Source organism: Homo sapiens, chromosome 1 (genome assembly GCF_000001405.40).
Source record: "Homo sapiens chromosome 1, GRCh38.p14 Primary Assembly".
NCBI lineage: Eukaryota > Metazoa > Chordata > Mammalia > Primates > Hominidae > Homo > Homo sapiens.
The window spans coordinates 9,551,520-9,566,429 of NC_000001.11; the positions used below are offsets into that span (position 1 = coordinate 9,551,520).

The 14,910-nt window shown below is 43.5% G+C and overlaps 1 protein-coding gene across 1 annotated transcript in view, besides 1 other annotated feature; it reads left to right on the forward strand.

The window, feature by feature from the left end:
* SLC25A33 (solute carrier family 25 member 33) overlaps positions 1-14,910 on the forward strand; it is a 45,709-nt gene that overhangs the window by 12,055 nt on the left and 18,744 nt on the right. Inside the window, exon 2 of the mRNA NM_032315.3 lies at positions 2,107-2,286. Within this exon, the coding sequence (NP_115691.1) occupies positions 2,107-2,286 (180 nt within the window). The remainder of the gene's footprint in view (positions 1-2,106; positions 2,287-14,910) is intronic.
* Positions 3,898-4,098: a silencer, noted in NCBI's record as "peak56 fragment used in MPRA reporter construct". NCBI's record gives its function as "represses an SCP1 promoter by STARR-seq MPRAs in K562 erythroleukemia cells {active_cell/tissue: K562}" and the evidence as "EXISTENCE:reporter gene assay evidence [ECO:0000049][PMID:32103011]".

Below are 14,910 nucleotides of genomic sequence, written 5' to 3' on the forward strand. Positions count from 1 at the left end.
ATTCTATATGTCCAGGCCTGTTTTTCCTTCCTGTCGTTGCCTTTCCCAGGCGGAGATGCTGGTGCTCTATCATTTTTATTGACCCACCTATTTTATGCCAGGTGCCTGCTACGCTCTAGTTGCAAGAATGTACAAACAGCTTTTCTCCAAGGAGCTCCCAGTCTAATGAGAAAGACTTTTTTTTTTCAAATACTTAGAAACCTTGGAAGACATTTTCGTTGAAATCTCAATTGAATAATTCCTTTGCTTAGTAAACACTGTTTAGGAACTTGTTGAGCCCTGATGCCAGGGATGGAAAGATAAGTAAGGCCCCAGGTCTGAATCTTGAGGAACTCATCAGATTATAGAGCGATGTTTTCCAGAGTGAGGCCTGTGTCATTGGTAGGCATGGGTGAGGATGTGTCTATGGCCCTTGACATTGTTAATTATAACTAGCCCATCGAACATGTTATTTCATTGGTAGAATTGTTTAAGAGATGATGGAAGTAGGTATTTTAGGATAAATAAGTGAGTTGCCTTGAAGAAAAATATTTAAATAGTAATTCAGGTAATATCTCGATATGAATATAAGGGTAATACTCAAATGATTGGCTTAGGGGAACCCTGATCCAGAGAGACAGTGTGAGTAATGAAAACACAGGATTAACTGATTAGTTGTGAATGAGGGAAACACAAGGACTTCATTGTTGAAGGTGATTAATCAGATTTTTTTTTTTAAGACAGTCTTGCTCTGTCACCCAGGCTGGAGTGCAGTGACACAATCTTGGCTCACTGCAACCTCTGCCTCCTGCATTCAAGCTATTCTCCTGCCTCAGCCTCCCCAGTAGCTGGAATTACAGGCATTACAGGCATGTGCCACTACACCTGGCTAATTTTTGTATTTTTTTTTTTTAGTAGAGATTGGGTTTCACCCTGTTGGCCAGGCTGGTCTCGAACTCCTGGCCTCAAGTAATCCACCTGCCTCAGCCTCCCAGAGTGGTAGTATTACAAGTGTGAGCCACAGTGCCTGGCCGAAAGTAATTAATCAAATTTTAAGAAGGGTCTGTATTGGAGTAAATATTGATTTTCAAAATAGTATCTTCACCTGAATGAACTATTTTGTTTGAATGTGCAGAAATACTTTTCTAGAGTATTCATTGCAGCATGGTAGTGAAATTGGAAATTACATGAATGTCCAACAGTAGGAAATTGGTTAATATCTTATCAATCGATAAGGCAGAGATAGTATGAAGCCATTGGAAATGATGAAGCAGGTGCATAATTTGCCATAAAAGGGCACTCAGAATACCTAGATACTGGGAAGGGGTTAGGTGAAAATGCCAAGAATGGAAAGCCCCAAAGGATGTGCTAACGTGGGAATAGTAGTTACCCTTTAGCTCTGGGATTTCAACTTTTTTTTTTTTTTTTTTTTTTTTTGAGATGGAGTCTTGCTCTGTTGCCCAGGCTGGAGTGCAATGGCAAGATCTCCGCTCACTGCAACCTCTGCCTCAGCCTCCTGAGTAGCTGGGATTACAGGCATGCACCACCATGCCCGGCTAATTTTTGTATTTTTAGTAGAGATGGGGTTTTGCCTTGTTGGCCTGGCTGGTCTCGAACTCCTGACCTCAGGTGATCCACCTGCCTCGGCCTCCCAAAGTGCTGAGGTTCAACTAATTTTATTAACCTTTATTGTGTTCTAGTTTTGTTTTTTTTTTTTTTTTTTTTTTTTGGGTTTTTTTTTTGTTTGAGACGGAGTCTTGCTCTGTCACTCAGGCTGGAGTGCAGTGGCACAATCGGCTCACTGCAGCCTCTGCCTCCTGGGTTCACGCCATTCTCCTGCCTCAGCCTCCCGAGTAGCTGGGACTACAGGCGCCTGCCACCACGCCCAGCTAATTTTTTTCTTTTTTTGTATTTTTAGTAGAGACAGGGTTTCACTGTGTTAGCCAGGATGGTCTCGATCTGCTGACCTCGTGATCCACCCACCTCAGCCTCCCAAAGTGCTGGGATTACAGGCGTGAGCCACCGCGCCCGGCACGTTCTAGTTTTAAAGAGAGAAAAGCTAAGCTTAGCATTCCATTGTGTAGGGAATAGTATAGCTTCTCTGATCTGCTTTGGTTTCCCTTACAGGTGTGGAGGCACAGTTGGTGCTATTTTCACTTGTCCACTAGAAGTCATTAAGACACGGTTGCAGTCTTCAAGATTAGCTCTCCGGACAGTCTACTATCCTCAGGTTCATCTGGGGACCATTAGTGGAGCTGGAATGGTGAGACCAACATCCGTGACACCTGGACTCTTTCAGGTTCTGAAGTAAGTTCAGTCTTGTCTGCTCCTGCCACCTGCACACCCTGTACCGCCACTGTCAACAGAGAATGTTCATCAAGCTTATCAAATGTGATGTTCTGTTTGCATAGCCTTGGTCCTAACTTAAGAATTAGATTTCTTTACCAATACCTTTGAGCTCTGACCTTGCTCCCCTGGCAGCGGGGGGTCCCAGTGTACATGTGACCATCATCCAGGGCAGTTAAAGTAAACCTAGCAAAGCAAACCAAAAATCCACGTGTAAATTGTTGCATCACATCATTGCTCTTGCTCAAAGCTTTTGAGGGAAATGAAGATAAGAGGTGATAGAGTAAAATTTTAAAAATTGCACAACAGAAGAGTTGTGAATATTTTATTTTATTTTATTTATTTACTTTTTTTGAGACAGAAGAATCTCGCTCTGTCACCCAAGCTGGAGTGCAATGGTGCGATCTTGGCTCGCTGCAGGTGATCTGCCCACCTTGGCCTCCCAAAGTGCTGGTATTACAGGCGTGAGCCACCGCTCCCAGCCGTGAATATTTTTAAAAGAAACAAAATGTTTGTTTGTTTGTTTGTTTTTGAGCTGGAGTTTTGCTCTCGTTGCCCAAACTGGAGTGCAATGGCACAATCTCAGCTCACCGCAACCTCTGCCTCCTGGATTCAAGCGATTCTCCTGCCTCAGCCTCCTGAGTAGCTGGGATTACAGACATGCGCCACCATGCCCGGCTAATTTTGTATTTTTCATAGAGATGGAGTTTCTCCATGTTGGCCAGGCTGGTCCCAAACTCCCAACCTCAGGTGATCCGCCTGCCTCAGCCTCCCAAAGTGCTGGGATTACAGGCGTGAGCCACCACACCAGCTTTTTTTTTGCTTTTTATTGGGAAATATTTTTAAATGTGTAGAAAAGTTATGTTTAATAAAATGGGCTTTAAAATTTGTTTTATACCTGAGCTACCTGCCCATTTTATTATTTTTACTGTAGAAAAAATAATTCATTTGCTTATAAAGTAGCCAAATATTCTTAAGTCAAATTTGGCTTATCAGTCTATGCATAAGGTAAAATCAAATTCAGAAGAGAACTGATTGAATATCTGATTTTTAGCTCAGGACCTTGTACTTTGAGATGCTCTATAATTAATAGTTGAATTTAACTGAGCATGATATTCAAATCTTTGAAACTGATTCTTGGGCAAGAGTATGTTCAAGAAAGACATTCATCAAGAAAGCTATCAGTGTAGAGATTTATTTGGGAAATGTTAGAAAAAGAAGTAATAAAATGGAGATGCTCTGTTTTAAAAACAACGCATTTAGCACTTTTTTTTTTTTTTTTTTTTTTTTTGAGATGGAGTCTCACTCTGTCGCCCAGGCTGGAGTGCAGTGGTGCGATCTCCACTTACTGCAAGCTCCGCCTCCTGGGTTCACGCCATTCTCCTGCCTCAGCCTCCTGAGTAGCTGGGACTGCAGGTGCCCGCCATCACACCCAGCTAATTTTTTTGTATTTTTAGTAGAGACGGGGTTTCACCATGTTAGCCAGGATGGTCTCGATTTCCTGACCTCGTGATCCGCCCACCTTGACCTCCCAAAGTGTTGGGATTACAGGCGTGAGCCACCGCACCCAGCCACATTTAGCACTTTTAGGCACAATTTAGATAAGGCAGGATGAGTTGGAGAGTGCTTAGTTTATTTTTAGGTATGTTTTATTTGTAAAACCCAACTATGAGTCACTGGGGCATTCATGCCAAATGTGTGCAAAGGTACATCTGAGCTTACTGAGCGAAACTGAACAGCAAGACCAGATGCCAGGGACAAGTGAGAGCATCAGAAGCCCAGCGAGGGAACAGGGAGATTGGTGTCCAAGACTCCAGGAGAAATTGGGGTTTTTGTTTGTTTGTTTGTTTTCTTTTTTGAGACAGATTCTCACTCTGTCACCCAAGCTGGAGTGCAGTGGTACGATCTCTGCTCACTGAGACCTCTGCCTCCTCGGTTCAAGCGATTCTTCTGCCTCAGCTTCCCGAGTAGCTGGGATCACAGGCATGCACCACGATGCCTGGCTAATTTTTGTATTTTTGGTAGAGACAGAGTTTTACCATGTTGGCCAGGCTGGCCTTGAACTCCTGACCTCAGGAGATCTGCCTGCCTTGGCCTCCCGAAGTACTGGGATTATGGGCATGAGCCACTGTGTCTGGGTGAGAATCAGGTTTTTAAATTAAATGCTAAGAAAAGGAGTGGAGACACTGGGCAGGAAAGTTGGGGGTGGGTACAGGAGGGACAGAAGCACAGAGATGTGGAGGGACACTTTGCTCTCAGGACAGATCCGAGTCCATGGCCCCCATCAAGATGGGACTGTGAGAACACTCCTCCTGCTTTGCCTTTTCACATGCTTAGGCGGTGCCAGTGTCCCGGGTGACACCTTTCTTCTAAGGAACATGCAGTGCTTTGGACATAAGGAAACTGAAGACAGGTAATGTTACTTCAGTAACATTCAAAATGAATTTCCTCTTGCCAAATAATCATGACTAGTGAATTTGGATTTACTGTAACTGGGGAACTGTTACCCAAAAGTGTGGGTGTCAATAGGGCCAACCTGGAAGGTAAATGGGAATGTTTCTCCATTTTAGGTTTTACAGGATATGTGGGTTGAGTGTCCCTTATCTGAAATGCTTGGGACCAGAAGCAATGCAGATTTCGGATTTTGGAATATTTGCTTCATCATACCAGTTCAGCATCCCCAGTCCAGAAATACAAAATGCTCCAATGGGCATTTCTTTCAGCATCATGTTGTCACTCAAAAAGTTTCTGATTTTAGAACATTTTGGATTCTTATGGCTTTCTAATCTCCAGTAAATCCAGCCCCCCCCATAAGAGATTGTGTGTGTGTCTGTGTCTGTGTGTGTGTGTGTGTGTCTGTGTGTGTGTCTGTGTGTCTGTGTGTATCTGTTCCCTCCCCTCAATTAGGGCAATTGTTTAGTAAAATTTAAATCAAAGGAAAAAGGCCACTCCATGTTTTAATACAGGAACAACTTCCACACCACACAAAAGACAAACTATTTTCATTACAGTCCCACCGGCTTCATTGGTTAATACAGCCACAGCTACACAATAATGAGCCATCACTTATATATGAATACTTTAATTAATTAATTAATTTTGGGTTTTTTTGAGACAGAGTTTCACTCTTGTTGCCCAGGCTGGAGTGCAATGGCGTGATCTCGGCACAACCTCCGCCTCCCAGGTTCAAGCGATTCTCCTTCCTCAGCCTCCCAAGTAGCTGGGATTACAGGAATGTGCTACCACGCCCGGCTAATTTTGTATTTTTATTAGAGACAGGGATTCTCCATGTTGGTCAGGCGGGTCTCAAACTCCCAACCTCAGGTGATCTGCCCGCCTTGGCCTCCCAAAGTGCTGGGATTACAGGCGTGAGCCACTGTGCTCGGCATGAATACTTTTAAATCAGTTTATTTTATTGACATCAAAATATAAACAATGGCGTTAGTAAGTAAAATTTTAGTTATAATGTTTTGTCAGAAAGGTGTTTGTAAAGTGGCACTTTTCACCCAAGAGCTATTTTATTTAAGCTTTATTTCCTCAGCTTTATTATATATTTTTAAAATTCTGGGCTGGGCACGGTGGCTCATGCCTGTATTCCTAGCACTTTGAAGGGCCAATGCAAATGGATTGCTTGAGCTGAGCCCAGGAGTTTGAGACCAGCCTGGGCAATGTGGCGAAATCCCATCTCTACAAAAAATACAAAAAATTAGCCGGGCATGTTGGCGTGCACCTATAATCCCAGCTACTCAGGAGGCTGAACTTAGGAGTTGAATATAACTGAGCATGATATTCAGATCTCTCAAACGGATTCTTGGGCAAGAGTGTGTTCAAGACACATTTATCAGGAAAGCTACTTATCATTGTAAAAATGTATTTGGGAAATGTTAGAAAAAGACGTAATAAAATGCAGGTGCTCTATTGCAAAAACCACACATTTAGCACTTTTAGGCACAATTTACGTAAGACAGGATGTCCTTGAGCCCAGGAGATCAAGGCTGCAGTGAGCTGTGATTGTGCCACTGTACTCCAGCCTGGGCAATGGAATAAGACCCTGTGTCAAAAAAAAGAAAGATTCTCTCACACAACTATTTAATAACTTTCAAGTAAAGGACTACTTTTAAAAAATTGTGGGTACATAGTAGGTGTATACACTTACGAAGAAAACTCCTTTTACGTGGTAGTATTTCATTGATTTTGCACAACCTTAGCAGATGAGTACTCAGGCGTGACGTTACCTCTATTTTAGAGAAGAGGACATGCAGGTTAAGGGCTAAGTGACATGCCCAAAGTCATGTTCAATGTATATCCACCTTGCTTCTAAGAAAGACTTGAAGCCGCTAAAGTAAAGTAAGAAATGAACAAGCCCCAGACACAAGGCTGAGCCTCTGCTGCTTCTCCGCGAAGGCAGCAGCAGTTCCCAGCTCAGAGACTCCTAGGACTGCACCCTTCTGCCTCCGTGGCTATTGCTTCTGTTTCCTTTGCTGTGCTGCAGCCTTACAACCTCTGGCTGTTGGAGGGTCCAGGGCCCAGACCCTGGCCTTCTCTAGCTACTGCCACTCCTGTGGGCGCACTTAGTTTCATGGCTGTAAATACCATCTGTAAGCTGGCAGCCTTTCTGCTCTGAGCCTCACACGCTCCATCCGGCTGCCTGTTTGACAGCTTGGATGTTTATTAGCCATCCAAGAGTAACATGAGCAAAACAGAACTCCACAAAACCTACTGCTCCCAGAGTCTTCCCTGTCTCTGTTAGAGGCAGCTCCATCTTTCCAGCTACACAGATCTCAAGCTTCATAGTCATCCTTGGATCTTATTTCTCAGCCCTGCAGCAAATCCTATCAAGTCTACCTTCAAAATAAATACAGAATCTTACCCCTTCTCACTACTTCCTCCACCACTGTCCTGATGGAAGCCACCGTATCTCACCTATATTGGTGCATTCACTTCCTGACTGCTCTGGCTTGAAAGCTTGCTGCCCTCTACCCTCAGTCTGATCTCAGCAGAGCACCCAGAGAACCCTCTGCTCAGATCCTCTGCTCAGAGTTGCTGTCTCCCTCTGGGTAAGAGCTACAGCTATCCCTGTGGCCTACTAGGTTCTACACGATTCTCACCCTTCCCATTACTTCTGACTTTTCATCTCCTATTTTCCCCTTTGCCTCTCCAGCCTCCTTTTTGTTCCTTTAAAAGGCCAGGAACATTTCCCACCGCAGGGTGTTTGCAGTAGACATTGTCTGCACGGCTGACGTCCGCTGTCATCACCTTGCAGGAAGACCCTATAGTGACCATGCTATTTAAAAGCAAACTCTCCGCAACACTCCAGCCCGCCTTCCTGCTTTATATTTTTATCCGTAGCACTTACGTCCATCAACATACAGTGTAGTTTACTTATTTCTATTCTTTTCTCCCTCTTCACCACCCCCTCCAATGGGACTTCTTTGGAGGTAGTGACTTTGGTTTCTTTTAATTACTGAAATCGTCCCCAAGCATCGAGAATGTTGCCTGTCACATAGCAAGCATTCCATACAAATTGAATGCATGAGTTTTGGCATGTCAGGAAGATATTGCATATAAAGGGCTTAACACCCTCCCTCCGTGTAAATAATAAAAGCTGCTGTCATTATAATAGCTACTCTCTGCTTTTAAACACAAGGTTTTGTTTTTTTTTAACCTTAAAGTCTTTTATCTCTTAATAGAGGCAAAAAAAAAAGGTGGGGGGGAATATCCTATTACATAATTCTCATGTGAAGAAAGCATACTCTTCGGGGGAAATTTGTATCTTTTCCTGTTAATAAGTTCTAAAGGCAGAGTCTGTAACTCAGGACTTACATAAAAACAATATACCAACTTAGGAAGCTTTAGGGGGGCTTAACAGAGGGTGGCTCCTTTTCAGGCTGCTACCATGTGGGTTGAAGCCACCATCCTCTCTCACCTGGATTATTGTACAGCTTTCTGTTTCTTCATTAACCATCCCTAAGCTAACGGCGGTGACGATGGTTTACAGAGAGGGTCTTTATCTAGTAAGTGATCAAACAAGAACAAGGGTACAGGCTTTTGTCTTATCTACAAAGCCCGTGTTAGTTTCCTGTTGACATTTTTGGAAGACACTTTGTTATTCAAAAACCATACAAGGCTGGGCGCAGTGGCTCACCCTTGTAATCCCAGCACTTTGGGAGGCCAAGGCAGGTGGATCACCTTAGGTCAGGAGTTAGAGACCAACCTGGCCAACATGGCGAAACCTCGTCTCTACTAAAAATACAAAAACCAGCCGGACATGGCAGCACGTGCCTGTAATCCCAGCTTCTCGGGAGGGTGAGGCAAGAGAATCACTTGAACCTGGGAGGCGGAGGTTGCAGTGAGCCGAGATCACGCCACTGCCTTCCAGCCTGGGCAGCAGAGCGAGACTCCATCTCAAAAAAAAAAAAAAGAGAAAAGAAAAAAAACCCATGCAAATAACATGGTCATTCGTTTAAAAGTTGTCTGCTTGTGGCCGAGGCGGGCGGATCACGAGGTCAGGAGATAGAGACTATCCTGGCTAACACGGTGAAACCCTATCTCTACTAAAAATACAAAAAATTAGCCAGGTGTGGCGGTGGGCGCCTGTAATCCCGGCTACTCGGGAGGTTGAGGCAGGAGAATGGCATGAACCCCGGAGGCGGAGGTTGCAGTGAGCCGAGATCGTGCCACTGCACTCCTGTCTGGGTAACAGAGCAAGACTCCATCTCAAAAAAAAAGTTGTCTGCTTATTAATAGTCTTACTCATTTGGGGAATACTACTTTAAAAGACTTGTCAGAGAACAGAATTTGTTTATAGAAAGTTTATTTTCAAAATTCAGAGAAAAAAATATTCTCTATTCTGTTAAAGAAAAGTATTCTGTTAAAGAAAAAAATTCTCTATTGAAGAACCTATCTCGAACCTATCTTTTTTTTTTTAATAGTTACTTAAAAAGCAAAAAGGCAATATGTTAACAGATTCAGGTATCTGCTATTAAATGTGCCAGAGTAATAAATAGTATATGTATTTCAGGTATTTGCTTTTAAAAAAAATAAAAATCTTCTGGCTTAATATTTTCCAGCAAAGTTCTTACTATTTAAACTGCTGAGACACATTCTTTTTTTTTTTTTTTTTGAGGCAGAGTCTTGCTCTGTCGCCCAGGCTGGAGTGCAGTGGCACCATCTCTGCTCACTGCAACCTCTGTCTCCCGGATTCAAGCGATTCTCCTGCCTCAGCCTCCTGAGTAGCTGGGACCCGTCACCACGCCCGGCTAATTTTTTTTGTATTTTTAGTAGAGACGGGGTTTCAGCGGTATTAGCCAGGATGGACTCCATCTCCTGGCCTTGTGATCCGCCCGCTTCGGCCTCCCAAAGTGCTGGGATTACAGGCGTGAGCCACCGCGCGCAGCCCTCTTTTTGTTTTTTCAAGTGCCTTTTTCATTGAAAAGTAACGTGTTAGTGATCTCCTATCTTATCTTTTAGGAACCACAGTGTTCAGATGAGACATTTGTCTTGGATTAGTCTGTGCTATGCATATTATGATATAAAACAGTGAAGAGAATAAAATGCTCCAAACAAGACCCTGATTTTTTTTTTCCATTTTTTTCCTAAATGAAAGTTTGTGACTGTGGGAAAATGAGTCTGGATCCTTCTGGGCTTGATTTTGCAGCTGAAATGTACCATTTATAGTAGGATCTTAATTGTTCCAGAAAAGTTTTGTAAACATCAAGCTAGGTTAGAAGTTTGGATTATGTAACAGATTTGGCTTTTTGCCAACTGTTATTATGTGTAACTATGGAGACCGCCTTTCTTAAGTTCTTAACAGGCCTGAGTCACTTGAGGACACGAGTTCCCTACTGCATTATGGATGAGCGGCTTCAAGCTTCCTGGAGCCAGAGATTCCCTTAATTGTGTTTAAATGACTCCTGAAGCTGAACAGGGTACATTAATGGGGACCACAGAGAGGATCTAAACTTTACACAATTTCTTGATACACTTAGCGTTTGAAAATCTTGATTATGTGCTATATTATAAAGTATAGGCCACTTCAGGGTGTTACTTGAGAGAGGTTTTAGTTCAGACAGCTCGATCGTTTAAAAGAGCAATACTGCTTGAACCCTTAAAAGAGCAATACTGTTTGAACCCGGGAGGTGGAGGTTGCAGTGAGCCGAGATCATGCCACTGCACTCGCCTGGCGACAGAGCAAGACTCCGTCTCAAAAAAAAAAAAAAAGGGGCAATATTCGTGTTTCACGCCTGCAATCCCAGCACTTTGGGAGGCTGAGGTGGGCGGATCACCTGAAGTCAGGAGTTCAAGACCAGCCTGGCCAACATGGTGAAACCCCATCTCTACTAAAAATACAAAAATTAGCCAGGTATGGTGGTGTACACCTGTAATCCCAGCTATCCAGGAGGCTGAGGAAGGAGAATCACTTGAGCCTGGGAGGCGGAGGCTGCAGTGAGCCGAGATGCAGCCACTGCACTCCAGCCTGGCTGACAGAGCAAGACTCCATCTCAAAAAAAAAAAAAAAAAAATTAGCAGGACGTGGTGGCTGTTGTCTATAATCTCATCTACTCAGGAGGCTGAGGCAGCAGAATTGCTTGAACCCAGGAGGCAGAGGTTGTATGGGATCACTTAAAAGGGCCTGGGCTTAACACCTGTCAGTAAGGAAAATGATTTGATTAGAAAATAAGACTACTGTCTCTGCATAATATTTTTATGTAATTGAATTATATAAATGGGCCAGGCACAGTGGCTCATGCCTGTAATCTCAACACTTTGGGAGGCCGAGGTGGGCAGATCACTTGAGGTAGGGAGTTCGAAACCAACCTGACCAACATGGAGAAACCCTGTCTCTACTAAAAATACAAAATTAGCTGGGCGTAGTGGCGGGTGCCTGTAATCCCAGCTACTTGGAGACTGAGGCAGGAGAATCACTTGAACCTGGGAGGCAGAGGTTGTGGTGAGCCAAGATCGCGCCATTGCACTCCAGCCTGGGCAACAAGAGCAAAAACTCCGTTTCAAAAAAAAAAAAAAAATTATATAAATTGAACTAAGGTCTGACTTACTACTTTTTAAAATAATAGCTTTTTTTTTTTTTTTTTGAGGCAGAATCTCGCTCTGTCACCCAGGCTGGAGTGCAGTGGCGCAATCTCGGCTCACTGCAAGCTCCACCTCCTGGGTTCACGCCATTCTCCTGCTTCAGCCTCCCGAGTAGCTGGGACTACAGGCGCCCACTACCACGCCTGGCTAGTTTTTTTTGTTTGTATTTTTAGTAGAGATGGGGTTTCACTGTGTTAGCCAGGACGGTCTCGATCTCCTGACCTCGTGATCCGCCCGCCTCGGCCTCCCAGAGTGTTGGGATTACAGGCATGAGCCACCGCGCCCGGCCGATTCTTTAGTATTTCAACAAAAGATCATGCCATCTGTGAATAGACATAGTTTTACTTTTTTCTTTCCACTCTTTTTCATCTAATTGCTAGCCTACTACTAGCTCTTGAAGGTACAGATATTCTTTATTTTAAACATCCAAAAATTAGGAGAAGAGAAGCTAAGATTCAAAATTCTATTTACTTTATACATTCAGAGAATCTAGAGCATGAAAAGTTACATAGTGATCTGAGGAAGGAGAGCTGGAAATAGATGAAACTTTAACATTATCCAGTATGCTGTGGACCAGAATGTCAGCTGTACCTCTTTTGCACCAAAAACCAGCTTAATTTGGGAAACTTTCCCTGTGGAGAAAGTGGAAGAGGTAGAAATAGAATTGACAGGATTTACTTTACTATTAACTTTATAGGAACATCTTTTCCATAAAGTGAAAGACCTTTTCATCATACCTTCTGTGTGTTATAATGAAAGTAAAACATTCTATTAACTTTTTTTTTTTCCTTTCTGAGACAGAGTCCTGCTCTGTTGCCCGGGCTGGAGTACAGTGGCATGATCTGGGCTCACTGCAGCCTTTGCCTCCTGTGATCAAGTGATTTCTGGCTAGTTTTTGTATTTTTAGTAGAGACGGGGTTTCACCATGTTGCCAGGCTGGTCTTGAACCCCTGACCTCAAGTGATCCACCCGCTTCGGCCTCCCAATGTGCTAGGATTACAGATGTGAGCCACTGCTCCCAGCCATTCTATTAACTTTTGACTAGCATATGATTATTTGTGAGCTAGATCAACCTTAAGTGCTATCAAATGGATGGTACTACTAGTAAAGAGAAATCCTCCATAAGAAAAAGAGATTAAATTAGAGAAGACCATTATATAACAATGTAAATTCTACTGGATACCATGGAAATTGAACCATTGAAGAGAGTAAATTTAACCAACGTGAATAACTGTGTTGCTGCGGAAAAATGCCTCTAAAGAATGTTCCATACAATCCTTTCAGGATTTTCTAAGTCGCTTTTAATTGGAAACAATATTTAACTTTTTTGTGTGAAAAGCACATTGGCGAGGTTATAGAGAAATCGGAACCCCTTTTACATTGCAGGCGGGAATGTAAGGTGGTGTAACCACTATAGAAAACAGCCTAGTGGTTTCTCAAAAAATTAGGCATAGGATTACCGTGTGATCCAGCAATTCCACTTGGATTCCACAAAAGAATCCAAAGCAAGGACTCAAACAAATATTTGTACACCCATGTTTATAGCAGCACTACATATAATAGCCAAAACGTGGAAGCAACCCAAGTGTCCATCGATGGGTGAATGGATAATAAAATGTGGTATATACAGCAGTGGAATAATATTCAGCCTTTAAAAAAAAGGAAATTCTGGGTGGGCACAGTGGCTCATGCCTGTAATCCCAGCACTTAGTAAGGCCAAGGTGGGTGGATCACTTGAGGCCAGAAGTTCGAGACCAGCCTGGCCAACATGGTGACACCTCGTCTCTATTTAAAAAAAAAAAAAAATATATATATATATATATATATATATACACAAAAATTAGCTGAGCGTGGTGGCACTCACCTGTAATCCTAGCTACTGGGAAGGCTGAAGCACAAGAATTGCTTGAACTTAGGAGGTGAAGGTTGCTGTGAGCCGAGATCGTCCCACTGCACTCCAGCCTGGGTGATGGAGTAAGACCCTGTCTCAAAAAAGGAATAAAATAAAAAGAAGGAAATTGTGACACATGCTACAACATGGATGAACCTCAAAGACTGAGTGAAATAAGCCAGTCACAAAAAAAGATGTGACGCCACTGATAAGAGATACCTAGAGTTGTCAGATTAGAGACAGTAGAATGGTGACTGCCAGGGCCTGACGGGAGGGAGGGCTAGGGAGCTGGTGCTTAATGAGTGCAAAAGTTCAGTTTGAAAAGATGAAAAGGTTCTGGAGGTAGATGGTGGTGATGGTTGCACAACAGTGTGGATGTACTTAATGTCACTCAACTGTACACTTAAAAATGGTTACAATGTGGCTCTCGCCTGTAATCCCAGCACTTTGGGAGGCCTAGGTGGGTGGATCACGAGGTCAGGAGTTCAAGACCATCCTGGCTAACACAGTGAAACCCTGTGTCTACTAAAAATACAAAAAATTAGCTGGGCGTGGTGGTGGGTGCCTGTAGTCCCAGCTACTTGGTAGGCTGAGGCAGGAGAATGGCATGAACCTGGGAGGCGGAGCTTGCAGTGAGCTGAGATCATGCCACTGCACTCCAGCCTGGGCAACAGAGCGAGACTCTGTCTCAGAAAAAAAAAAGGTTACAATGGTAGATTTTCTATTATGTGTATGTCATCACAAAAAAAAAAGTTTAAAATTAAAGCAGTTGGCTGGGTGCATTGGCTCACGCCTATAATCCCAGCACTTTGGGAGGCCAAGGCAGGCGGATCATCAGGTCGGGAGATTGAGACCATCCTGGCTAATGCAGTGAAACCCCGTCTTTACTAAAAATACAAAAAATTAGCCGGGCGTGGTGGCGGGTGCCTGTAGTCCCAGCTGCTCGGGGGGCTGAGGCAGGAGAATGGTGTGAACCTGGGAGGCGGAGCTTGCAGTGAGCCAAGATTGCACCACTGCATTCCAGCCTGGGTGACAGAGTGAGACTCTGTCTCAAAAAAAAAAAAACAAAGAAAAGAAAATGAAAAACGAAAAGCAGTCACGGTATAATCTTTGGACTTGAGATACTAGGCTTTGGTTTTAAATAACCGTCATCCGTCCATGAAAATTATTAGTTTTCTATTCCTTAAATTCTGCCCTCCCCCGCCAACTTTTTTTTTGTTTTTAATTTTTGAGACAAGGGGTCTCTTTCTGTCGCTAAAGCTGGAGTGCAGTGGCATGATCATGGCTCACTGCAGCCTTGACCTCCCAGGCTAAGTGATCCTCTTACCTCAGCCTCCTGAGTAGCTGGGACCACAGGCACACACCACCACACCTGGCTAATATTTTTCATTTTTTGTATAGATGGGGTTTATACTGTGTTGCTCAGGCTGGTCTGGAACTCCTGGGTTCAAGTGATCCTCCTACCTGGACCTCCCAAAATGCTGGGATTACAGGTATGAGCACTGAGCTGGCTCTATTCTTTATATCCCTGTATAAGATTCTACTACATTAGGTAAAGATCTAGAAGATAGGATTGTTAGAAGCAGTAAATCCAAAAGAAATCT